The sequence below is a fragment of the Homo sapiens genome, chromosome 5 (assembly GCF_000001405.40).
Source record: "Homo sapiens chromosome 5, GRCh38.p14 Primary Assembly".
Taxonomy (NCBI): domain Eukaryota; kingdom Metazoa; phylum Chordata; class Mammalia; order Primates; family Hominidae; genus Homo; species Homo sapiens.
In genome coordinates, this window is record NC_000005.10 from 124,899,933 (window position 1) to 124,925,454 (window position 25,522).

At 39.5% G+C, this 25,522-nt stretch overlaps 5 annotated features.

The window, feature by feature from the left end:
* Nucleotides 6,375-7,159: an enhancer, noted in NCBI's record as "NANOG-H3K4me1 hESC enhancer chr5:124242000-124242784 (GRCh37/hg19 assembly coordinates)". NCBI's record gives its function as "activates a minimal SCP1, AML or CMV promoter by ChIP-STARR-seq in naive H9 embryonic stem cells {active_cell/tissue: H9 hESC(naive)}" and the evidence as "EXISTENCE:reporter gene assay evidence [ECO:0000049][PMID:30033119]".
* Nucleotides 11,044-11,093: an enhancer, noted in NCBI's record as "active region_23018". NCBI's record gives its function as "activates an Ori minimal core promoter by ATAC-STARR-seq in GM12878 lymphoblastoid cells {active_cell/tissue: GM12878}" and the evidence as "EXISTENCE:reporter gene assay evidence [ECO:0000049][PMID:35858748]".
* Nucleotides 13,160-13,660: an enhancer, noted in NCBI's record as "H3K4me1 hESC enhancer chr5:124248785-124249285 (GRCh37/hg19 assembly coordinates)". NCBI's record gives its function as "activates a minimal SCP1, AML or CMV promoter by ChIP-STARR-seq in primed H9 embryonic stem cells {active_cell/tissue: H9 hESC(primed)}" and the evidence as "EXISTENCE:reporter gene assay evidence [ECO:0000049][PMID:30033119]".
* Nucleotides 21,484-21,573: an enhancer, noted in NCBI's record as "active region_23019". NCBI's record gives its function as "activates an Ori minimal core promoter by ATAC-STARR-seq in GM12878 lymphoblastoid cells {active_cell/tissue: GM12878}" and the evidence as "EXISTENCE:reporter gene assay evidence [ECO:0000049][PMID:35858748]".
* Nucleotides 23,249-23,358: an enhancer, noted in NCBI's record as "active region_23020". NCBI's record gives its function as "activates an Ori minimal core promoter by ATAC-STARR-seq in GM12878 lymphoblastoid cells {active_cell/tissue: GM12878}" and the evidence as "EXISTENCE:reporter gene assay evidence [ECO:0000049][PMID:35858748]".

Consider the following 25,522-nt stretch of genomic DNA (forward strand, 5'->3'; position numbering starts at 1 on the left):
GGCCAAAGCAGGCAGATCGCTTGAGCCCAGGAGTTTGGGACCATCCTGGACAATGTAGAGAAACTTTTTATCTACAAAATTACAAAAACTAGCGGGGCATGGTGGCACGTGTCTGTACTCCCAGCTACTCTGGAGGCTGAGGTAGGAGAATAGCTTGATCCCAGGAGGCAGAGGTTGCAGTAAACCATGATTGCACCACCACACTCCAGCCTGGGTGACATAGCAAGACTGTCTCAAAAATAGATAAATAAAAGATGTCTCAAATATATTAAATAGTGCAAAAATAAACAATACATATTTTTAGAAGTTGATACTTGCAGATATCCCTCATGCAACATATTACCAATCCACATTTTCACGTAGTTTTTTTCCTCTTCTGTGCACACAAAGATAATACTCTCAGTTGTGTGTATTTGTTTTCCAGGGCCACTGTAACAAATTAGCACCAACTGGGCAACTTAAAACAACAGAAATTTATCCTCACAGTTATGGAGGCTAGAAGAATAAAATTAAATAGTTGATAGAGTTCATTCCTTCTGGCGGCCTTGAAGGAGAATCCATCCCATGCCTCTCACCATGCTCCTCGTTTCTGGTGGCTGGGGCCATCTCTGGCATCCCTTGGCCCACCGGCACATCATACCAACCTCCGCCCTAGTCTTCACCTCAACATTTCCTTTGAGTGTGTGTCTTCTCTTCTCTTCTTTTTGAAGGGCACACATCATTTGATTTAGGATCCTGGATTATGGTGATTCCTAAATCAAATAACATTTGTCCTTAATTTAACATTTGCAAAACCCCTTTTTTTCAAATAATGCCACATTCACAGGTTCCAGGACACATAACTTTACATTCGTTTAAATGTATTTTTTATTGTGGTAAGAATACTTCACTCTTAACAGAGTTTTAAGTGCACAATATATTGTTAACTATGGGCATAATGTGCAACAGATCTCTAGAATTCATTCATTTTGTACAACTGAAACTTTATGCCCACTGAAAAGCTGCTTCCCATTTCCCCATCCCCTCCAGGGACATAACTTTTGGAGGGCACCTTTCAACCCACTACAGTACAGTTTAATCAATTTGTGTTGTTTGTCGTGGAATAATGATGATGGATTTTATTTGATTGTTGATACTCTTAAAATGAATGGCTTGGTTAGGACTGTGGTCATTGGCTGGGCAAATTTTGCTCTTTTTGGCATTAACTTACTTTCATGGAATCTATACCTTGGTTGTATTAATTGACTATCCCATGAGATGAGTACTTTGAGTAGATAGGCAAGTTCTCTAGGAAAAATATTACTCATACAGCCTAAGAATGTTAATTTTGGCTCTCCCTCACTGGCAAGGTAACAAGTCAACATCTTTACAGTAACCAGAGTGTGGGACCATTTATAAAGTACACAGATTCTCATAGTGGGAAGGTGAAATTACTTGTAGAGAAAAATACAAAAACATAATTTTTTCCACACACTCATTTGCATTTATAGCAAGGGAAGATTTTCCCCCATCCCTTACCCCCACCACACCACATCAACACACATACACAGACACACATACTTTGACTAAATATCCAAAGTGATTTTTAGCAACTTACAATGTATAGATTTAGTAAACAACAATTACAAACAATGAATTTATTTCCTTCATTTCTTTTTAGTACATTCCAGACTTTGTTTTTAATCTTTAATTATTGCTCCCTTAAGAAAAGTGATCCCACATTTCATTTACATATTGTGCCATTTCTCAGTAAATATAAGGGAATCTTGCCGTACAAGTCTATTGCTTTTCTTTTCATTGGTCTTTCTTAAACCAAGCAACATGAATTCTAATTATTTTATCCACTAAGAAATGAGAAATTTAAATCAATGCCTTTAAACATAGGACTACATGAGGCTTTTAGATCATTAGACGAAACTAAATGCAATACTTAAATAACTGAGTTTACAGATACTGCCAGAATTTTACTGCTACCATTTCTATTCGCTTTTGCTGTTTTTAAAAATAATAATACCAGGGTGTTTGGTGAAGTATAGATGACCCTTAGTGTACCTGAGTCAGTGTCAAATATCCAGTTTTCTCTGGAGCTTCTTGTGTGGTCACCTATAATTGCTATTCAAAGACCCACAGGACAAGCTTCCATGTCCAAAATGTACTCATTCTACAATTTGACCCTTCAAGGTGCTATAAAAACATAAATATATTTCTTTAGAGAAACTCTCTGCTGCAGCATGGTCCTTTGAAACCGTCCAATTTGCTCTGTGATTCCTGCTGAGATATGCATTACATCATGGTCTATTTTTAGCTTGTTACATTAATCAAAACCTATCCCACTTATTAAACAGCTTCCTGCAGCTCAGGCATTTGAAATGCAGAGTGCCAGCAAGCAGCTGCCAAACACCATGAAGGAAAGAGGTGGGCTAGGTTGGAGTAATGTACAAATTGAATTTCAAGTGACTGAGCAGCCTCTTTATCTCTTGGTGACACAACCAGGGGCTGTAGCGGTGTTCTTAAAGGAAATGAAACCCAGAGCCATGGTTCACTCATGGGGTGGTTACCATGGCCCTGCCCAGCAGTCTTTCCGGAACTGCTGATGAGTGTGACCTTTGCAAAAATGCACAAAGCCTTGATTTCTGCATGGTTAACCTTTACAAGCCAGAACCCCTCTGTGAAACCTACCCACACCAGAGGGAAGCTTCAGAATCAAAACAGACACATACACATTTTATGAAAGAGCAACTACAAATACACACATGCACACACATATTCTCAGAGGATGAAGACATTGAACGCATTTTCAATTATTCTCTCAACTGTGTTTTTTCAAGCATTTACATTTGTCTTCCTCTGGAGCAAGAAAGTGCCAGTACTCGGTGCAGTGTCAACCCTGTACTTAAACTCATTTGCTGCACTTCAGAATGGCCTTGATCGGAATTGGTAGTGGGAATGGAAATTACATATTTTCAGGATTTGCTAAGAGTCACCTAGACCATTTGCTCACAGTTAAATAATGACCCAGTGTGCATGGTGAGAAGGAGTGGATATTAAATTAATAGCCTCGATTTCCACCACTGATCAAACCAGGAAAACCATTTTGATTTGATAGTGTATCTCAAACGTGTTCTTTATTCCAAATGTATTGAATGTTCACTGTAAGGGTAGGAAGCTCAGAGCATTATGAAGGTGACTATAGCAATATTCTTTACCTGTTATAATGACAAATTAAACTTTTTTCCCATGGCTTCTTCCTGTTTTTAATAGCATTTTGTTTTCAAGCAAATCTAATTTTTCTCATTATTAATATATTGATTCACATAGCATTCATTATTTAAAAAGCTATTTACACAAGCTAACCTAGTCCTTTTTTAATATCTAGTTCTAGTAATATAGTAGTATATCTTTTATATACTACTCTCATATGATTTGCCTAGCAAGGCTGTGATGTAATTAGAACAGGTTGTTATTATTATTGATGAAAATACTAAAGTCCTAAGAGATTAAAGAGCATGTCAAAGGTCAACACAGCAAATCACTAGTAACCCTGGAAGGCTAACCTCTCTTTTCTGTAATTTCTCTGAATAATGAGGGATATGGCAATAGGGATATGGGGAAACCAGTGATTTCAAAAGACACTTTGATTCACCTTTATAGAGTCTCAATCTACAACTTTCTGTTTACCATACTCGCTTAAAAATCCTTGTCAAAGTGCAGGAAACCCCTGATCTGCAAATACCCAGCTTAGAAATGATCCAGCCATCCAGACATCAGCCTCCTTGCTGTCTTTTTACTGTCAACTGATCAACTGTGGGGAAATGATGTGGGCGGGAGGTGGCGGACAAACTTCAAGAGACACAGTTTAGAAGCCAGTGGAGAAAAAAGTGGGAGAGAGGGTTCACCACAGAAGAATAAAGAAAGAGCAGATAATCTCTAAATACATTCACTTTTTGATTCATTTAGTCATCCACGTGGGGTTAGGCTGTAAAGTTGCCACAAGACAGTGAAATTCACAAACCCCTTTTTAGTTCTGGTGCTTGAGGCACTGTGCTAAGTGCTGGGAATACAGATCCAAGATCTGTCTACAAATAATTCTAAGCGAAGACGGGGTGTGAAGAATTGTATGGGAAAAGTACAAGGCAAATTAGAACACCACGTTTGGAAGGTTTATTTCTGGCTGAGGCAACCAGGGAAGGTTTTGTGTCCAGTGATGGGTCCATGATGGATGAGCTGGGCTCTGTCAAACTTCTAGTATTCAGAAGTCAGGCTAATGTATTATGACCCACTTGATTGCAATTTTAGGCCCAGAAGGTTTTTGTGGGGCATTCTAGGATTCTAGTCGCTTTTATAAAATGTGGTAAATACACAAAGCAATGGACATAGTGAATAACAAATTTATACTAGTTTGTCTGTAGCCTTTTGGTATACCAGGTTTATGCTGTCACTAATTTTTACAACTATTCAACAAAATAGATGTTATAATATCATTTTATAGATGAGGAAACTGAAGCTCAGGAAGACTAAGTCACTAACCTTCACTCGTAAGTGGGAAACTAATGGAGTCATCTTCAAGCAAGCAAAGCGCCAAACAAATGATTCTCAGACAAATCATAATGTGCATAGATCACCCCACCATGCTCGTTTTTTATTTTATTTTATTTGAGACGGACTCTCGCTCTGTCACCCAGGCTGGAGTAAAGTGGCACAATCTCAGCTCACTGCAACCTCCCCCTTGCCGCCCTGGTTCAAGCAATTCTCCTGCCTCAGCCTCATGAGTAGCTCGGATTATAGGCATGCAACCACCACGCCTGGCTAATTTTTGTGTTTTTAGTAGAGACGGAGTTTTGCCATGTTGACCAGGCTGGTCTCGAACTCGTGACCTCAAGTGATCCGCCTGCCTTAGCCTCTCAAAGTGCTGGGATTACAGGCGTGAGCCACTGCAGGTGGCCAACCCTACTGGTTATTTATTTAGGTAGGCACAGTGTGTAGAATCTTCCAGCAGAGGAATATTTTGAGAAGGTGAGTTACTGTCTGTGTATTTGACCCCCTTTTTTTCCCTATGTAATGCAAACCTTTACAAAATACATTTTCTTTTCGATAAGATGACATCCTTTTTATTTTTGCTAAGTATGGTTTTATCCTCCTCCTCTCTGTTTAATGGGAGCAGCTGTCCCAACGACAGGATTTAGCTTAAGTTAAAAATAAGAAGGAAAATGGTGTACGTAAATGTGAGGACTGATCCTCCCTGAATGAGAGGTAATAGTTCTTAGGGAAAAGTAAGCTGTTCTTACCCTTTTTGTTTTGCCTTGCCAATTCTGGCCTGTGTCTTCAGAGGCACCTAAGTCTTCAGTGTATTAATTGTTCAGACTTTTGACTCCAAAAGGAGGTTACTTTTTAAAGGCTGACCAATTGCTTTGGCTATGCTGTCTTAAATGTGGGTCTCTAAGAAATCAGTATGAGCAACTTTCTTTGAGCCTTCAAAGTAAAGTCAAATGCTTGCTCCTCAGCAGGAAAGTGACTTTAATTAATTCTGGACGACCTTTCCATTGAAAAGCAAAACACTGCCCCAAGGCTTTTTAGAAAGGTTAGGTTGTACCTTTTCCCTCTTATTGTTATGAGGCAGATATTAGTGTTCCTCACACAAGTCTTTCTCTCCTGTGTTGTTGTGGATGAGTGCACTTCTTAATAAAGGAAAAACAAAACAAGCAAGTAAAAACCCCTGTTTGGAGCCAATTAACTTCTTGATTCTAACAAGAACTGAACTGGAGTATAAAATCTTCCATCACAATAAAATATGACTAAAGACCTCATCAATACTCATTTAACAAATGCTTTGGACTGAACCATCTTTTTCTAATACTTAGGAATTCCATTATTTCTTATTTCAGTGAACATGTTAGAAAAAATTAAGTGAAATGGGATTAGGTTTGCCATTTGTCATTTACTCAGAGTAGAATTCCCGTCTGACATGTGGGCACTCATACCAGGGGCTTAATGCTTTTAGTAATTATAAGGATCATGTAGAGTATGTTGATTGGTGAGGAAAAAAATCTTTATTAACTGCTCAGAAATAGTTAATTCTTCATTAGTCAGAGCACTGCACTAGAGGCTGCTGCCTGTGAACCATGGATTAGAGTTTATGATAGTAATAACCTCCCTGAAAAAACATTTGTTACTATACTTAATGACCAGATTTTAGTGCATTAACCTTCCTTGGGAGGTCAACTAACAAAATGGATGTTAACTGCTTGTAACAACCAATTCCTCTGAAATTAATATTTAGATGCCTTTGGTGTCAAAAAACCTTCCTTCCATATCAGGGCATTAAAAACACTTCTAAATTATTAATAGCAGGCAGAATTCAATGCCTGAAAGATTTCCATTCCAGTGTTCTTTATCCTCAGCCTCTTCCCATTTTCTCTAACAAAGTTCTCTTATGCAGGAACAAGGAAGGCATTCAGGAAAATTAGGTCTCAAAAATGCATGTGGGTCAACAATGCACTGCAGTTTTGAAAAGGTCACTCTTTAAGTTCAACAGAAATAAACATAATAGGAGTGTGAAGGCAGCCCTGAGAGCACACTGAGAACCTGACAGGGACAAACTCCCTGCCAGGCCTCGGGCTGCACTGCCACAGCCCTATCACCACCTGTCAGGAACTCCTTAACGACATTTTTGCATCCCTTCTGCAACTGACCTCCTGGCTTGGCTCTCCAGCCCCTCCCCCTCCCTTTAAATTGGAAACAAACCACACTTATGTCAAAACGGCTTCTGAACTAGTTCCTTCCTGAGCAATCCCAGAATATAAAACATGTTCTGAAAAGCTGCACCATTCCCTGGAGAAACTTTATGATTTGGTTACTGCAGCAGGGCGCGCTGCTCCTTGGCTGTGGTAGCCTTGAGTCAGTGCCAAACAATGAAGCAATGCTATTATTAGCCTTTCCATTCAATGGCGACAAAACAGTCCATGTTTCTATTTTCAGACTGTTCTCTTCTGGTGCAATAGATTTGCCAGAAACCTAAGCCTCAGGGCTAGCACTGGACCAACAGGGCAAAGTAGGCACCTGAAGCCAAAACATGCACAGTGGCACAAATGTGAAAATGCTTTAATGGTAGTATTTTTAGGCAGAGGCAAAATACAGAGCTGGCCAAAGTTCTGTCTGCTGAAACCTGTGCTGGTTTTTACGGAAAGTTACTGCTGGGGTTGGGATAGAATACCTGGGATCTCTACCATGAAGTTGCCCAATTTAATAATTTTCCCAAATTGCAACTGTGTAGTAACATTTGTGACTCAGTCATTTAAACTGGCCTGTTGGCCAGGCTCAGTGGCTCATGTCTGTAATCCCAGCACTTGGGGAGGCCTAGGCGGGCAGATCCCTGAGCTCAGGAGTTCGAGACCAGCCTGAGCAACACGGTGAAACCCGTCTGTATTAAAAAATACAAAAATTAGCCAGGCTTGGCGGCGGGCACCTGTAGTCCCAGGTACTAGGAAGGCTGAGGTGGGAGAATCTCTTGAGCGTGGGAGGCTACAGTGAGGTGTGAACACGCCGCTGCACTCCAGCCTGGGCAACAGAGGGAGACCCTGTCGTGAAAATAAATGAAAATAAATAAATAAAAAAATAAACCAGCTTGTGTGCTGGCACAGAACGATAGACCAATATTGCACAGAGTTGTGACTTGGATGATAAAGGTGACAAAGTAAAATGCCTGTAAGAAAGGGTGATTTCCTTATGACATGATCAGTTAGTTACAAGCCCACCAGGATGTTTCCAGAAGAGTCGGGCAACTTGTAGGCATTCTTTTTGATTGTTACTTACTCTTTTTTTTTTGAGACGGAGTCTCGCTCTGTCGCCCAGGTTGGAGTGCAGTAGCGTGATCTCGGCTCACTGCAAGCTCTGCCTCCCGGGTTCACGCCATTCTCCTGCTTCAGCCTCCTGAGTAGCTGGGACTACAGGCGCCCGCCACCACGCCTGGCTAATTTTTTTTTGTATTTTTAGTAGAGATGGGGTTTCACTGTGTTAGCCAGGATGGTCTCGATATCCTGACCTCACGATCCGCCCATCTCGGCCTCCTAAAGTGCTGGGATTACAGGCGCGAGCCACCGCTCCCGGCCTGATTGTTACTTTCTGATGGATTACTTTTGTAATACTGGAAATTTCGTGTATATAGAGGTCCATAACATTTTTGGCCTGTTTCCACTTGTAAATAAGATTTGCAATCTGACCATTCAAGCCGTGCAAATTCTGTATAATAATGATTTTAATTTAATGCCCAGATTCTTCATTGCTTTGGGAATACTGTTCTTGCTAATTGGAAGGTCATTATACCATTACATATATATTATTCCTCTTTCCTATTGTAGCTGATTCTCTCCTTGTGTATATTATTTTAGGAAAGAAACACTTGCAAGCAGGAAGTAAGCAATTATTTCTTTTAAACTGTGACAGATTTTGTATATTTAATTGTTAAAATTTCAGATAATGGTATTTCTTTTAAGGTTTGGTGTTTTATTTTTGCATTTAAAAATAAAAATAAGACAATTAGGCTAAGTTTATAAAAGGAAAAAATGTGATATCTTGCTTTCTCAAATCTCTTTTGCTAGAAATTATTTTTAACAGAGACATTTGGAGAAAGAGCTCTTCCCAAATATAAAACTAAAATATGAACTGTTGACATTTCCTCCACTCCTCCTCCCCCATTTTCTACGGAAATATCATTTATAGGCTGCTGGAAGCCAGCTTTTAGTCACAGTGTTTTCAATAGTAGGAATGATTAAAACACACTTATTGCCTTGGTCTGCTTTATCTCTAAACTGATAAGATTTCTGAAAGCTATTTAACTGTCATGTGAATCATTAACTTCATTATGTTTACGGAGAATATGTTATCTCCCCTGCTTCTTGGGGACATGGATCCTTCATCAGCGACCTGGATGGCGCTGAGTGTGATGCAGGTAATGTACCTGCACAATTTACTAGTAGCCGGTAAGAGTTTCAAATCAGGATGTTGATTATAGTGTTGTTCACTTAATGAACTTCCATGCACTGCTTCCTGAAAACCCTTTTATGGTTTCTGTTGGCTCCATATGGCATTCTGATGAGCTTACACTTCTCCTTAAGTGCTTCTGTATCAGAAAACAAGAGCAAAGCTGAAACAAAGTGAGTCATCTGGTTTTGTCTTTGCTTTCACTGCATGAGATAATGTGGAGGTGTTAATTACAAGACTTCACTGAGTCTTGACTAATAACAGTGTGCAAACAAATGTATGTCAGGCTCAGCCACAGAAAAGCTTCTACTAATAAGGTAAAACTAGCAATTAGAGCTGACAATGAAGTAATACTTTCCGTTGAATATTCATTAATGACGTTCTTGTTTGGGAGAAGGGAGGCTTCTGATTGTTCAGATGGAAACCTAGAATAGGTCATTTCTTTTAAATGAATTAAACACTGTGTGGTGAGCCAGTGTACTGGATTAATTCCCTTTTGTACTAATGCACTGACCCTTTGCTTCAAAGGCAGAGCCTGGATGGCCACTAAGATTCTTCAATCTGTGACCTTGGCTTAATAGGGACAAATTGAATTTCCCACAAAGAGAAAAATGATAGTGACCATAGAACATCACTAACAATGTGCTGGAAATACTACATGTTTTATTGAAATTCTTCACTGCAGCTCCTAGGGTTGTAAGAATAAAGACTGTGATAACCTCACCTAACCTAACTCATATCACTTAGTCTACTGTTCTCTTTCCACTCCCCTCCCCTTCCTTTCCTTCTCTTCCCTTTCCCCTTCCATTCCCTTCTTTATTTTTCTTCCAGAAAGCAGTTTGACATACATGGTATAATATGAAATACATTTGGTCTGTGTCCCTGGTTTCTGCCTAGAGCTCCTAATCCCCCTGGCATTTCCTGATAGGAGTATCTTTCGTTGTTCATAATAAGCCCCTTTGATACTTCCTGAGTTTATGCTAATGATTACTTAGGGTAGGGCCCCTAGATGGCCTCAGGATGGGGCCAGATACCAGAAAGACCAGGTGATTAGATAATTAGGGGTTTGGAACTCTCAGCCCCACTCATGTATTATGTATCTCTGGGAAGGAGAGGGCTTGAGGTCAAGTTCTATAAAAACTCTTGAACAACACGATTTGATGAACTTCCAGGTTGCTAAACACGTGGAGGTGTTCATGGAAGCTCCATGCCGCTTCCCCCGTACCTCGCCCTATGGATCTCTTCATCTGTCATTTCATCTGTATCCATTATAATAGCCTTTATAATAAACCAGCAAATATAAGTGTTTCCCTGAGTTCTGTGAGCCATCCTAGCAAATTCATTGAACCCAAGCAAGGGGTTGTGGCTATAGCCAGTTGGTCAGAACTATGAGTGGCCTGGACTGCTGATTGGCATCTGAAGTTGGGGGCAGTCTTGTGGGACTGATCCTTTAACCTGTGGGATGTGACATTGTCTCCAGTTAGATAGTGTCAGAATTGACTTGAATTAATAGAACTTCCAGTTGGTGTCCAGTGGAGAACTGCTTGGTGTGGGGAAAAATCCTCACATATCCAGTCACAGAAGAGTTCTGTGTTGAATGTGTTAAAGTGTACCCGCAGCTGACAGACAAAATGGACTCCCTATAGCTAACTGAGGTGCTCAAAATTAAAACAGAATCAAGGGGCCATTGCTGGGTGAGGGTCACATACTCTGTGTTCTTAGAAAGATGTTGTGAAAGTGTCATAGGACCTCCTTTTCTACAATCAAAACAAACCAGTTACTGTTGTCCTGTATTCCATGCCAAGATAAACTGTGGCTGGAACCCTCTCCACCCCAACCTCCCATAGCTAGAAATATCTGACAGAGACTTCTTTGGGGCTTGGAAACCACACCATCAGGGCTTGAATATTTTGACCAGTCAGAACTGAACAAGTTTGAATCCTTCATTTGCATAAAATAGACCTGATTGAGAACCAGGGTGAGAACGTTCCCTGTTGAAGCCGGACCTTCCCTTTGATCTTTGGAGAGCACACTCTCACTTGTACTGAAGGCTGTGCCTCCCCAATCTGCAGATTATTGTTATAGAAGGTACAGCTTACCCTTTTCCTCCAAAGATCTCATGATCCTTTGTTAACAAGTGTGAGGTTAGAGTAAGGAAAAATGGTTTGTGTTTTTTCTTTTACAATGTTTCTTTGAGCACATGAGAGCCTCTGCTTTCAGACCAAAAAGAAGCCTTCCAGACAAGGGAATGTTAGGCATCTGTGGCTCTTTCATACGTGACATTGTTTCTGAAACGTGATCACAAACAAGTTATACTATCTGAATAATGTATGTCGTTTTAGCGTGTCAGTGAAGATGCCAAATGAGAGATTCTACTGATAAAAGCATTTCATTTAGTTGGTCTTTAATTGCTCTGTATGTATGTGGCAAAATATAAAGGGAATGTATTTTTTGGATGGGGCCAATACAAAATCTTCCATAAGAATAAATCCTCAAAATGTCTGAATTTTAGAATGGATCATGACCTAGGTGAAATAAAACAATCTTCTGTTACACTCTCTTGACAGCCAAAATCCTGATTTGGTGGAAGTGGCCCTATGCCCAGATTAAAAAGCCACAGTCTCAGACTTCTTTGTAGTTAGAGATGGGCACATAACACACATCTGGCCAATAGTATATAAGAGTAGGTTACTTAGAGCTAGTAGAAATAGGACAGAAGAAGCTATAGGTGCACATTTTGCTCTTGTGTGTTCTCCTGTAGTCGCTGGAACCAATTGGCAATGGATCATGAGAGAAAGGTGAAGATAATTAGCAAGTTAGCAGTGATGGTCCTCTGGGGCTGTCTTTATGTAAGCCGCCCACCCCCTATTCCAACACACACACACACACACACACACACACACACACACACACACACACTGTGCAAGCCACTAATTTTCAGTTTTGTGTTTTGCACAGACAAATGTAATTTCTAACCGAAATAGAATATGGTATCACAGCTGATGAGAACTGTGGGAAGAGGTTCTTCAAGTAATGGAATATAAAATGTCTCATTTCCACAATGGAAGAGGTGGAATAGTGAAGGCAGTTATTGCAGGCAGGCAGGTAAAAGAATGTGATCATATTAAATGGGGCCAAACATTTTTGTAGACTCTAGGAAAACAGTGCACTGACGCACACACAGAATGCTGGCATTTGCTGGACTTTCTTGTTTCTTTTAATAAAGCCCTCAGACAGAGTACCTTATTCAAGAGACACACAGTATAAAAACAGATATGGAATAAAACATACTACTGAGATAGGTACTTTTGCTCAAGTCCTGCAATCTAAGTTGTTCGAGAATTCCGAAAGTTGGAGCCTTTTATTTGCTGGTATATATGTTTGACCATTGGAAAAGAAACCCAAAATACCATGTACAGGAAAATAGAAGCTTAGTTCTCTCTTAGTAATAGTCTAGGTATAAGCAGGTCAGGCCTGGTATATGGCTTCATGTTGGCTTTCTATCTTACTGCTTCTCAGTCTCCAAAGTATTGTCCTTATCTTAAAGATCCCAGATGGCTCTAAACCATAGGAAGGGAAAGAGGGAAAGAAAGGACACATCTTTCCCTCTATAGCCATAATCTCAAAGTTGCACACATTATTTCTGCAGACACCTCTTTAGACATAATTTAGTAATAGGACCATCCCTTACTGTAAAGTTTTTTATCGGGGCTCCTATATTCTCAGCTAAAAAATCACGAATTCTATTTCTGTGGAAGATAAGAAGAACTGAAATTGGCTCCTTTGGTGTTGAAATGCCAACAGTTCTTCTACCCCAAATGGAAACTGAAATGGGAAAAGTTCCCTTGTCCCCCTCACACAGCGGGCGATGGGGGAGTGGCTCACTTCCTCAGTGCCCCACTGCTCAAACCTCTAGGGAAGCATACAGACGGGCAGGCTGTGGGGCTCCAACCCCACGGCAGCGTCTAGGGCTGGTTTTTTACAGCTCAAGCCCCAGTGGGCGTGTGTTATATGGTGCTCTTTTAGTTTAGCTGTCCGTAGGCGGCTGTTAGCTCAATTGGACCCTGCCTTATCGGAAGACAGAGGGCATTCTGTATCCCAGGGTTCTTGCCTTGGTATACCGCAAGAATCAGATCATGTGGGCTTGGAGAATGAGTGCAAGGTTTGATTGAGTGGAAGTGTAGCTCTCAGCAGATGAGGGAGCCAGAGGGAGATGGTTTTACCCTGGAGTCAGGCCGCTCAGCAGCCTGGGCTCTCCAACTGTCCCGGCCAAACTGTGTGTCATTCTGCCAGTCGGTGGCCTGCCAACATGCCAGTGCCTGTCGGTGCGTTCCTCTAGTCATCCAGCCGCCCGCATGTTCCTCCACTGATGTGCTCCTCTTGACGTCCAACCGCCTGTGTGTCTGCCTGCTAGGGTCTTGGGGGTTTTTACAGGCATTTCCAGGGAAATGCAACATTTGGGCAGGAAAACAAAAATGCCTGTCCTCACCTTGATCCGCGGGTACAGGCCTGGCAGTGGAGCCCTAGCCAGGGACCATGCCCTCCTCTACCCAGCACTTCCCTTCCCCCATTCTGTATCATTTAAAGGGACCATGCCCTTCCCTTCCCAGCACTTCCCTTCTGTATCAAAACCATTATAAGTTTAGGACCATACCATGCTTTCTTTTTCTGTTCTAAAAGAAACAAACAAATGGGCTTAAAAAGCTCTATGTACTGTTCTTGTTCCCTTTGGCTTTATATTCAAAATTATAATGAAACTTTAATAAGATCACAATACATGATATTTGTATTTTGTGTTTCCATTTGGGGAAAAAAGTGATGGTGTTGGAATGTTCTTTGGCAATTCCAATGAAGAAAAACAGCAACACCTAAAACATCTTTCGAAGAAATTGAAGACTGGAAATGTCTCAAGGTTTAGTTCTAATTAGCATCTAAAATTGCTCTTCCTTGAGCACAAACTGAGCTGAGACCTTGCACTCTGAGACATTGCATTTTGTCTTGAATGAGATGGATTAATAATTCTCTACTCAATGAGTGAAAATTAGGTTTGTCAAACAGCATAATTGTTCTTAAATATAATTCATAGGTAATTGTTAAAGAATAATTTACTATTACTGGACTGGATGTTAATTATATTCCTTGACTTGTAGAAGCATCCTATTAAATAGTGGAAAAACCTTTCTAAAACCTACATTTTGAGGAAAATAGGTAATATCCATTTTAGAAACCACACATTGGACAAATCAGTTGATTGAAACATTATGTAAGCAAATATGTTTCTACAGGTATGTCCACTGAGGCGTTATTTACAGTTCCAAAAACTTTCAAGCAACTTAAATATCCATCAAAAGAGGAATGGTTAAATACAATATTGTATAGTTATCAAAAAATACAATGTAACCCTCAAAAGAAAACAAATCTGCAGAGTAGGACTGAAGGAGATAGAGACATGAAAAGCCCTTAAAAGTATTCAATGAATCCAGGAGCTGGTTTTTTGAAAAGATTAACAAAATAGATAGACTACAAGCCAGACTAATAAAGAAGAAAAGAGAGAAGAATCAAACACAATAGAAAATGATAAAGGGGATATCACCACTGATCCCACAGAAATACAAACTACCATCAGAGAATACTATAAACACCTCTATGCAAATAAACTAGAAAATCTAGAAGAAATGGATAAATTCCTGAACACATACCCCCTCCCAAGACTAAACCAGGAAGAAGCTGAATCCCTGAATAGACCAGTAACAATTTCTGAAATTGAGGCAGTAATTAATAGCCGACCAACCAGAAAAAGCCCAGGACCAGACAGATTCACAGCCTAATTCTACCAGAGGTAAAAAGAGGAGCTAGTGCCATTCCTTCTGAAACTATTCCAAACAATAGAAAAAGAGGGACTCCTCCCTAACTCATTTTATGAGGCCAGCATCATCCTGTTACCTGGCAGAGACACAACAAAACAAGAAAATTTCAGGCCAATATCCCTGATGAACATCGATGCAAAAATCCTCAATAAAATACTGGCAAAGCGAATCCAGCAGCACATCAAAAAGCTTATCCATCATGATCAAGTCAGCTTCATCTCTGGGATGCAAGACTGGTTCAACATACACAAGTCAATAAACGTAATCCATCACATAAACAGAACCAAAGACAAAAACCACCTGATTATCTCAATAGATGCAGAAAAGGCCTCTGATAAAATTCAACACCGCTTCATACTAAAAACTCTCAATAAACTAGGTATTGATGGAACATATTTCAAAATAATAAGAGCTATTTATGGCAAACAAACAGCCAATATCATACTGAATGGGCAAAAGCTGGAAGCATTCCCTTTGAAAACTGGCACAAGACAGGGATGCCCTCTCTCACCGCTCCTATTCAACATAGTGTTGGAAGTTCTGGCCAAGGCAATCAGGCAAGAAAAAGAAATAAAGGGTATTCAGATAGGAAGAGGGGTAGCCAAATTGTCTCTGTTTGCAGATGACATGATTGTATATTTAGAAAACCCCATTATCTCAGCCCAAAATACCCTTTAGCTGTTAAGCAATTTCAGCAGTCTCAGGATATGAAATCAATGTGCAAAAATCACAAGCATTCCTATATACCAATAACAGACAAACAGAGAGCCAAATCACGAGTGAACTCCATTCACAATTGCTACAAAAAGAATAAAATACCTAGGAATACAACTTATAAGGGATGTGAAGGACCTCTTCAAGAAGAACTACCAACCACTGCTCAAGGAAATAAGAGAGGACACAAACAAATGGAAAAACATTCCATGCTCATGGATAGGAAGAATCAATATTGTGAAAATAGCCATATTGCCCAAAGTAATTTATAGATTCAGTCCTATTCCCATCATGCTACCATTGACTTTTTTCATAGAATTAAAAAAAAATACCTTAAATTTCATATGGAACCAAAATAGAGCCCGTATAGCCAAGACAATCCTAAGCAAAAAGAACAAAGCTGGAGGCATCACGCTACCTGACTTCAAGCTATACTCCAAGGCTACAGTAACCAAAATAGCATGGTACTGGTACCAAAACAGACAGACCAATGGAACAGAACAGAGACCTTAGAAATAACGCCACACATCTATAACCATCTCATCTTTGACAATCCTGACAAAAACAAGCAATGGGGAAAGGATTCCCTATTTAACAAATGGTGTTGGGAAAACTGGCTAGCCATATGCAGAAAACGGAAACTGGACTGCTTGCTTACACCTTATACAAAAATTAACCCAAGATGGATTAAAGATTTAAACGTAAGACCCCAAACCATAAAAATCCTCAAAGAAAACATAGGCAATACCATTCAGGACATAGGCATGGACAAAGACTTCATGACTAAAACACCAGAAGCAATGGCAACAAAAGCCAAAATTGACAAATCAGATCTAATTAAAGAGCTTCTGCACAGGAAAAGAAACTATCATCAGAGTGAACAGGCAACCTGCAAAATGGGAAAAATTTTTTGCAATCTGTCCATCTGACAAAGGGCTAATATACAGAATCTACAAAGAACTTAAACAAATTTACAACCAAAAAACAACCCCATCAAAAAGTGGATGAAGGATATGAACAGACGCTTCTCAAAAGAAGACATTTATGCAGCCGACAAACATAGGAAAAAAATCTCATCATCACTGGTCGTTAGAGAAATGCAAATCAAAACCACAATGAGATACCATCACATGCCAGTTAGAATGGTGATCGTTAAAAAGTCAGGAAACAACAGATGCTGGCGAGATGTGGAGAAATAGGAACTCTTTTACACTGTTGGTGGGAGTGTAAATTAGTTCAACCATTGTAAAAGACAGTGTGGTAATTTCTCAAGGATCTAGAACCAGAAATATCATTTGACCCAGTAATCCCATTACTGGGTTTATACCCAAAGGATTATAAATCATTCTACTCTAAAGACGCATCCACATATATGTTTATTGCAGCATTGTTCACAATAGCAAAGACTTGGAACCAACCCAAATGCCCACCAGTGATAGACTGGATAAAGAAAATGTGACACATATACACCATGGGATACTATGCAGCTGTAAGAAAGGATGAGTTCATGTCCTTTGCAGGGACATGGTTGAAGCTGGAAACCATCATTCTCAGCAAACTAACACAGGAACAGAAAACCAAACACCACATGTTCTCACTCATAAGTGGGAGTTGAACAATGAGAACACATGGACACAGGGAGGGGAACATCACACACGGGGGCCTGTCTGCGGGTGGGGGGCTAGAGGAGAGATAGCATTAGGTAGGAGAAATACCTAATGTAGATGACGGGTTGATGGGTGCAGCAAACCATCATGACACATGTATACCTATGTAATAAACCAGCACGTTCTGCACATGTATCCCAGAACTTAAAGCATAATTAAAAAGAAAAGAAAACATCTATATGGAAAGATCTACAAGATATAATTTTAAGTTTTAAAAAATTATAAAACAGTATGTTAAGTTTAAGTTCCTTTGTGTAAAATAAAACAGAAATCATAGATATAGTTGCATGCAATCGTATGTATATGATATATGGAAGATTCTGGAAAGGTAAAGTGACAGTCTCCAACTTACAATGGTTTGACAGCCATTGCTAGATGATTTTGCCCAATTATAAGCGAATGTAAGTGTTCTAAGCACATTTAAGGTAGGTTAGGCTCAGTTATGATGCATTAAATACATTTTTAGGTCAGGCACAGTGGCTTATACCTGTAATCTCAGCACTTTGGGAGGCCAAGGCGGATAAATCACTTGAGGCCAGAAGTGACACCAGCCTGGCCAATATGGTAAAACCCCGTCTCTACTAAAAAATACAAAAATTAGCCGGGCGTGGTGGTGTGCGCCTGTAATCCCAGCTGCTCTCAGGAGGCTGAGGCAGAAGAATCGCTTGAACCCGGGAGGCGGAGGTTGCAGTGAGCAGAGATCATGCCGCTGCACTCCGGCCTGGGCCACAGAGTGAGACTGCGTCTCAAAAAAAAGCGTTTTTGACTTACGATATTTTCAGTTTACGGCGGGTTTATCAGGATGTACGCTTATCATAAGTCAAGGAGCATCTGTACAAGAAACTATTAATAATGCGTACAACCAGATAGTGGGATTGGTTGTACTGTTATGAAAAATGAAGGACTTTTCTTACCTTTTACTGTATGACCTTATGTACTCTTTAGACTTTTAATCTTTTTTTTTTTTTTTTTTTTGAGACGGAGTCTCACCCTGTCCCTCAGGCTGGAGTGCAGTGGCGTGATCTTGGCTCACTGCAACCTCCTCCTCCCAGGTTCAAGCAATTCTCGCGCCTCAGCCTCCTGAATAGCTGGGACTACAGGTGCCCGCCACCATGCTCGGCTAATTTTTGTATTTTTAGTAGAGATGGGGTTTCACCATGTTGGCCAGGCTGGTCTCAGACCCCTGACGTCAAGTGATTCACCTGCCTCCCACTCCCGAAGTGGTGGGATTACAGGCGTGAACCACTGTGCCTGGCCTAGACTTTTAATCTTAGATTTGCTCTAGTTTTCAATAGAAAAAAATTAATGAAAATCTATAAAAACAACTGTGCTGCAATGTATATTGTCTTTAAATACTGTTATTGTGCAGGGAGTAAATAGCGTAAGGAATTACTGAAGTAGGGACTACTTTGAATCCTGCTTCTTTTTGCTTGTTATTGACTAAGAGTCTGCTGTAGGACAAAACACTGTATTTGCATATGTGCTTAGATAACATTATGACTTGAGACTGATTTGTTCAATTGATACTGTTGTCCTGGAAGCACAGCCATTGCAAAAGGGCACCATGCTATCTCTTAGTAATGCATTTAATATCTCACAAATTATTTTCCTTTCTTCTAAATTTTACTTGCAGAAAGAATTTGGGCTTAGTGAAATGCGTCCTACTCATCAGTTTTGGAACACATGGAGAAAAACAAGAAGTGCTTTTTCTCTTAAGCCAAATCTAATACTATTCCTTATAATGGTGCAGCCTTGGCCGGAACCTGCCAAGGAAGAAAACATCAGTAATTCCTTTATCTGTAAAGTAAAGAGCATATAAGGGACCTGATATTCATTTTGACAACCCAGAAACTTTTTTTCAAAAAATTCTTATTTTATCAAAGGAGAAGTACCCAAAAACCAGAGTTCAAATTTGAAATGAGTGAGTGGTAAATACCATTTCTGCTAATTTTATGAAAGGAAGTATATTCCTCTTATGAGAGCATGTGGCTGGAATCTGAAGAAGCATGAATTTGAATCTGCTGTATAAAATCAAGAAGGCCCAACTTACCTAGCCTCTGTATGCTTTAGAGCCTCATAGGGCACAACAGAGAAGTGTTTATTTCACGAGAGGTTACATAATAGCCACACTTCTCATTCTGGTAGAAAAACAGTTACTGGCATCTACTATGTTGTAGGTCTACTGGAGGAAGGGAAAAGACAGAAAACCTACTGTCTGAGATTTTATAATCTAGCAGTGGGGAAGACAGCACTTTTGCTGTGGAAATAATTCATAATCAAAAAGTTTTATGTCCATAGAATACATTATTCATTTGAGTCCTTAAGAAATTGAGAGCTGGTTGTGTTATTATAAAGACCCTCCATGCTAATGTGGTAAAATGATTTTAAAGATCTAATTTGCAAACAGAAGAGCAAGAATTGCTGAATAATAATGACACTTATCATTGATGAAAAACCCACTCTGAGTTTCTTACTTTACAGATATCTTTTCTAAACTTCCTATGGACCCTGCACAAACGGAATTATTATTTTCATTTTGCAGAGGGAGCAACTGAGGCTGTATAAAGTTAGTGACTGAGTCAGGAATCAGACCTATGTCTCCCAGACCCCAAGCACAAGTCCTTTGAACCTCTGAGCTATAAGGCTTTGTAATCCTGATGAAGGGAAATGGAGATGGGGAGGGGGTGAAGAAAATCTTTAAATTCTTTTTTTTTTTTTTTCCTCTGCAACACTTTAAAAAGAGACAGGACAAAAGAAGAATGCATGTTCTATATGCACATTTCTTTGCAGCCCTCTGATGAAGTACCTCAAAAGCTAAGCTCCCATCAATCCTGGAGAGATAGAATCAGCAGAGCATAGTGGCAGAATGAATGGTTTAAAAGGAACAGCAGCGACCAAAGAACTTTTTATGCAGAGAAACCCCAAATCTGGGGCAAAGCCCTCCTGTTCATTTTATCTCACACAAGGTAGGTAGTGCTGCCTGTCAAGGTAATGCATTACTACACTATTTGGAAAAACTACAGTTCTAATTAGATGAGCAAATAAATGTTCATTTCAATTTATTAATATAGCTGTAGGCCTTGTTACAATTTATCTCCCGGTTTTGAGACCAATCCATCTCGAGCTGGGAATCATTGTGGTGAAGTAACGGGTTTTAATAATGGATACAGGCAGTGAATTATTCAGGCAGAAGGGAGCAAGCCTTGATGCCTTCACTCACTTCTTTAATTAACTGTGAGATGCTGACGAGTCTGGGCTGTCTCGAGGCTTTCTAAGTTTGTCTGCATCAGAACTGTGAATTTTTCTTGGGCCATAGATATGTTGTGCTTTCAGGTCTATGCATAGCCAAGAAGTGACACCAGCTATCATATTCTCATTTTGTCTTCTTATATTCTCAATTCTGTGTCTGCTTAAATATTATTTTCCTGCAACTTCTTGAGCAACGAACATTTTTCTTGACAAAATGAACATCTTTGCTCTACTGCACTTCTGGATAAGACTTCAACACATGAAAATCCAAGATATTTCAATTCTCATATAAGTTTGGGAACTAATCAATAAACCACAAAATCCAGTTCTAGTCACTTCAGTCCATTTAGCTTGTTTTAAAGCCATTTATTTTCATGGCTTAGAAATAAATAAGCTGCTAGAAAAGAATTTTTCCTCTCCATTTGACATAGCATCAAACAAATAAACAAAACTAAAACTCTTACTAAAGGCAGGTTCCATTATTTGTGGAGCTTTGCAGTCTGCCCAAGTGGTTTCTGTAAACAAAACCTTTTAGGGCTTGTCACTAAACAAATGGCAGAATATGGCTGTGTACGTTGAATTTTCTTCTTTGCCTAACACAGATCTTCTAAGTAGAAAGTGCATCTAGCTCACAGTCTTTGCTCCAGTGTTAATCAATGGTTTTTGCTGTGAACACATTAATAACATGCTTAGATAATTGATTCCCCTTAATCTGGACGTTCTACTTTGCTATTACCTGTGACCATGAAAGTTAAAAGAAAAGTGCACATAAGCTGTTTGACAGCAATTTATTTATGCTGTGACAAGATAGTTCCTCTTTCAATTTTGTCACATCAGAGAGAAAGTAAGAATCTGGGGGAGGTCTGAGCTCACCACTTCTTGGTAGAAATTGAATCACTTTTTTCTATAAATCAAAAGTCATGTTAAAAGCTCTGTGAAGTAAACAATGATGTATATGAATTAGCAGCACAACCATAGTCAATACAAATCAAAGTGGCTTTATGAAGGTATTGATGTTTTCAGCTCTTCCTAAGGTTGAATACATTTAAGCGTTTATTCCCCAGGGCATTGTTGATCCAGATGAATGTATTCACTTTGAAACGAGACCATAGTCGCCGCTAGAGACAAAACTACATACACTGACCCAGATACGGTTCTTCCCCAGACCAAGTGACCCCAGCTGCAGCCGGAGTGCTCACAGTAAACTGAAATTACATGAATGACACCCAGGGAAAGACGCTTGTATTATAAAGAGGCTACATTTCTATTTGGTTTACTGATGTATTAATTTTTCAAAGTTTGGAATCTCTTCAAATACAAGGTAAATGCATTTTCTAAGAATTTGGCCCAGTGGCACTCGTCTGGATGTGATAACCTGTTTTTCCTGTATCATGATTTAACTTAAACTACTCTTGTAAGTGACTGATTCTGTATCTTCAAGTTACATTCATACATCCTGTGACTGGATATTGACGAATTCAGTAGGTGCCACAGGCATATCTTGCTTGTCTGAAAGGAAAGTTAATTTTATACTAAGATGCCACCATTAAAATAGATAATGAAAGCATTGTTAGGATTTACCAGATTAGCTAAAGCAACAAAACATCAGATTGTAACTAGATGACCTCGGGGAAAAACACAGGATGTATATTTCCACAAAACATCCCGCATCATTTGACATATTCAAAGTAAAGGTAAGCCATGTATTTTGGCCTTTATGTTGTTCACAGAAGAGTTCTTTGCACACTGGATATACATTGGAATTCATCTTCCTTTTCTTCTTAGTATGTTAGAATATCTATGTCTTCAAAAGGGTCAGCCTCAAATGAGTGAGCCAAAGGCACTTACATGCAGACCAGTACTTATTAGAAAGAACTGAGAAATGAAACATAAACTGATAAGTGAGTGCAAGTCATTCATCTTTTTAAAGCCCATAAAAAGAGAATTGTAAATTAAAATGTCTACAATAGGTTCAACACCTCTCTCTCAGCCCCTCCCTTTCCTTTGTCATGCTACAGCATTCAAGTGTGGGAATGTTTCTCTGAAACGTGTAAATCACACATTTAGTCATGCCATACCCAGGAGCACCGTACCGGGAGGAACGGGGAGGAAGGCCAAGGAAATTAAATATGAGTCCAGCAGTTTGTTAATGAAACATTTACACAAGCAGTTTATATGGTTGTAATAAAAAAGGGGGGCCTCTTTCATCGCACCTTTTCATTACTTAGCACAGTCTTTAAGAGGATTAATGTGGAAGGGGGGAAAAGAATGTGCTTATCAGTTGAGTCTCAGGATTGGTAATGCTGAGTTCTTAATAGATTGCCTCTGGATTTAGGATTACTGTGGTGCAAATTCTTCCAGGCTTTCAATAGAATAGAAAGCAGTTTGTTTTCCCCCCTTCAACGAGAAGGGCTATTGACTTGGTGATGAAATGACCTAGGACTCAGAGTTTATTCAAACCACTGCCTCCTGTTTCTGTCACTTCAGGGAGATTTATTTATTTGTTTGGGCTACTGGTAGCCAATGCATCAAAATATGCACTAATTCCACCACTACTGTGATTAAGAAGCAGCTAACAATGCAAGTTTAACAGCAACCAGCTGACTTTTATGATGCTTGTATTAAGGATCTAGTTTTCAAAAGGAAACAGCAGAGAAGACAAATCTATTTTTTGGACACTGTCAATTCCCTGCACCTCATTTTCTGACAGGTTTCCTAACAGCTCAGATAAACTACATATTTTGGAGGACAACTGAAGTGAATAAGTGGCCCTTTTAGTTTTCTGGGGAGTTAGAGGCAGCTTTTGTTGGCAATCTTGTGAAAGAGTACAGTACTGATGGATCATGCTGCTTGAGGTCCCGTGACTTCACACTATTTTTAGCACAAGGAAGATGTTAGTTGTAACAGTGTACAATGGGCTAATCAGCCATAATAGAACTCACACTGTTTTTCACTTCACATTGCACTTATTATGTGCCTTGAATGTAAACAGCTCTTTGCTTCTGACAAAGATGGCAGTTTGCCATGGTGGGATTCAGCCTTCTCTAAAGCTCAGCAAACATTGAATAGAGCAAGCCAGAAGACTGAAAAAGCAATTGTTTGAATTTATGTCACTTGCAACCTTAGACAAAATTATTTTTGTTACTTCCATCCTTTCCTTCCTACCTCCCTCAAATTAGCAAGCATTCACATATGTCAGTTATCAGCATATGAAAAATTATTTCCATTATTTCTCCACCCACATTTAGAGAATCAATAAATCATGTTTTATATAAAGTCTTGAATAATGACATCCCTGTGCATTTTATACCCATTGTGAAATATTTGGAACTTAACATAATAATATGAAGCTTGATCATATAAATAGATTGAAGTTGCTTTAAAGCATGATAAAAGATACTCTTTAAAATTACACCCAACACCCAAAAGAAGTTTATTGTTTTGCACCATCTGTATGTACCATTAGCAGATTCAATAGTTTGCTCTCAAAACAGATTTAGAGCAATTTACTATAAAGCAAATTGTTGTTGGCTAGGCTTCCTGCATTGTTATCCTATGATTTTTCCAGGCACAGGGGCATATTCAAAAGTTTTTTGAAATTTTATCACAGTAATACATGCACATGATAAAAACCATCAAGTAGTATAAGAAAGTACTTTATAAAGAAAAGTACCCTCCTCCACACTCAGGCCTATTACTAGCAGCAAAGACCTTTTTATTTTTTAGTTCTTCTTCTGGAGATTACTTCCTAACCCTAAATAAAAGGCTTATAATAGTATTTCTAAAGAATTTTTTTAAATTATTATTATTTTTTTTAGAGTTGGGGTCTTGCTCACTGCAGCCTCGAACTCCAGGGCTCAAGTGATTCTCCTGTCTCAGCCCCTCAGCCTCCTGAGTAGCTATGACTATAGGCATGTGCCACTGTGCCCAGCTAATTTTTATTTTTACTTTTGTAGAGTCAGGATCTTGCATTGTTGCCTAGGCTGGCCTTAAACCCCTAGCTTCAAACAATACTCTCACCTTGACCTCGCGAAGTGCTGATATTACAGGTGTGAGCCACTGCACCTGGCCTTATAATAGTATTTATTGATTGATTCATTCATTGATTCAGCAGATATTCACTGAGTGACTACTGTTTGCCACATACTGTTCTAAAACTGAGATACAACAGTGAACGAAACAGACAAAAGTCCCTGCCCCCTTGAAGCTGAACATTCCACTGGAGTGGAAATGAGGAGAGGCAGATAATAAATATCAATGAATAATTTATATCACATATCAAAAAGTGAAAAGGGGTATAGAATAAAAGAAATGAGAAAGGTGGGCAAGAGGGGTACTGAAGGTGGAAGGTGGTGTGAAGTTCGAAACACAGAGGTTAGGGATGGCCTAACTAAGAGTGTGATATTTCAGCAAAGACATGAAAGAAGTAATAGAGTAACCCATGAAAACATCTCAAAGGAGAGAGGCCAGAGTGGAAGGAACAGCCAGTGCAAAGGCCCTGAGGCAGGAGCATGGCTGGTTGGCTTAAGGAACAGTGAGGAGGTCAACTTGGCTGATGTGGAATGAGCAAAGGAAAGTGCAGTAGGAGATGGGGCTTGTGAAATGATGGGAGGAGGAGGTCCATGGGAGTGTAGGAAGGATTTGAACAGAGAATTAATTCAGTCCTGTTTAAGTTTTTACTTTCTTGAGGAAAGGATGTGTGAATGGAAGAAGGAAGTTATTTTGGAGTCTCTGCGGTGATCCAAGTGAGACAAGGAAACTCCCAACAGGTTGATGCCTCAGAGGAGTTAAGAAGTAGTCAGATTCTGGGTATACAGTGAGGCTTACTTGCTTTTCTGATAGATTGCATTTATAGAATATGAGAGAAAGAAGATTTGGCTTCAGCTACTGTAAGAATGGAGTGGCCCTTAATGGAGATAAGATAGACTGCTGGTTGAATGGGATTTGGAAGGAAGATTTAGTTATGGATATGTTGAGTTTGAGATGCCTTTAGACATCAAAGTGGTGATAACAGATAGATAAGTGGATATGAGAGGCTGGAGTTCTGGG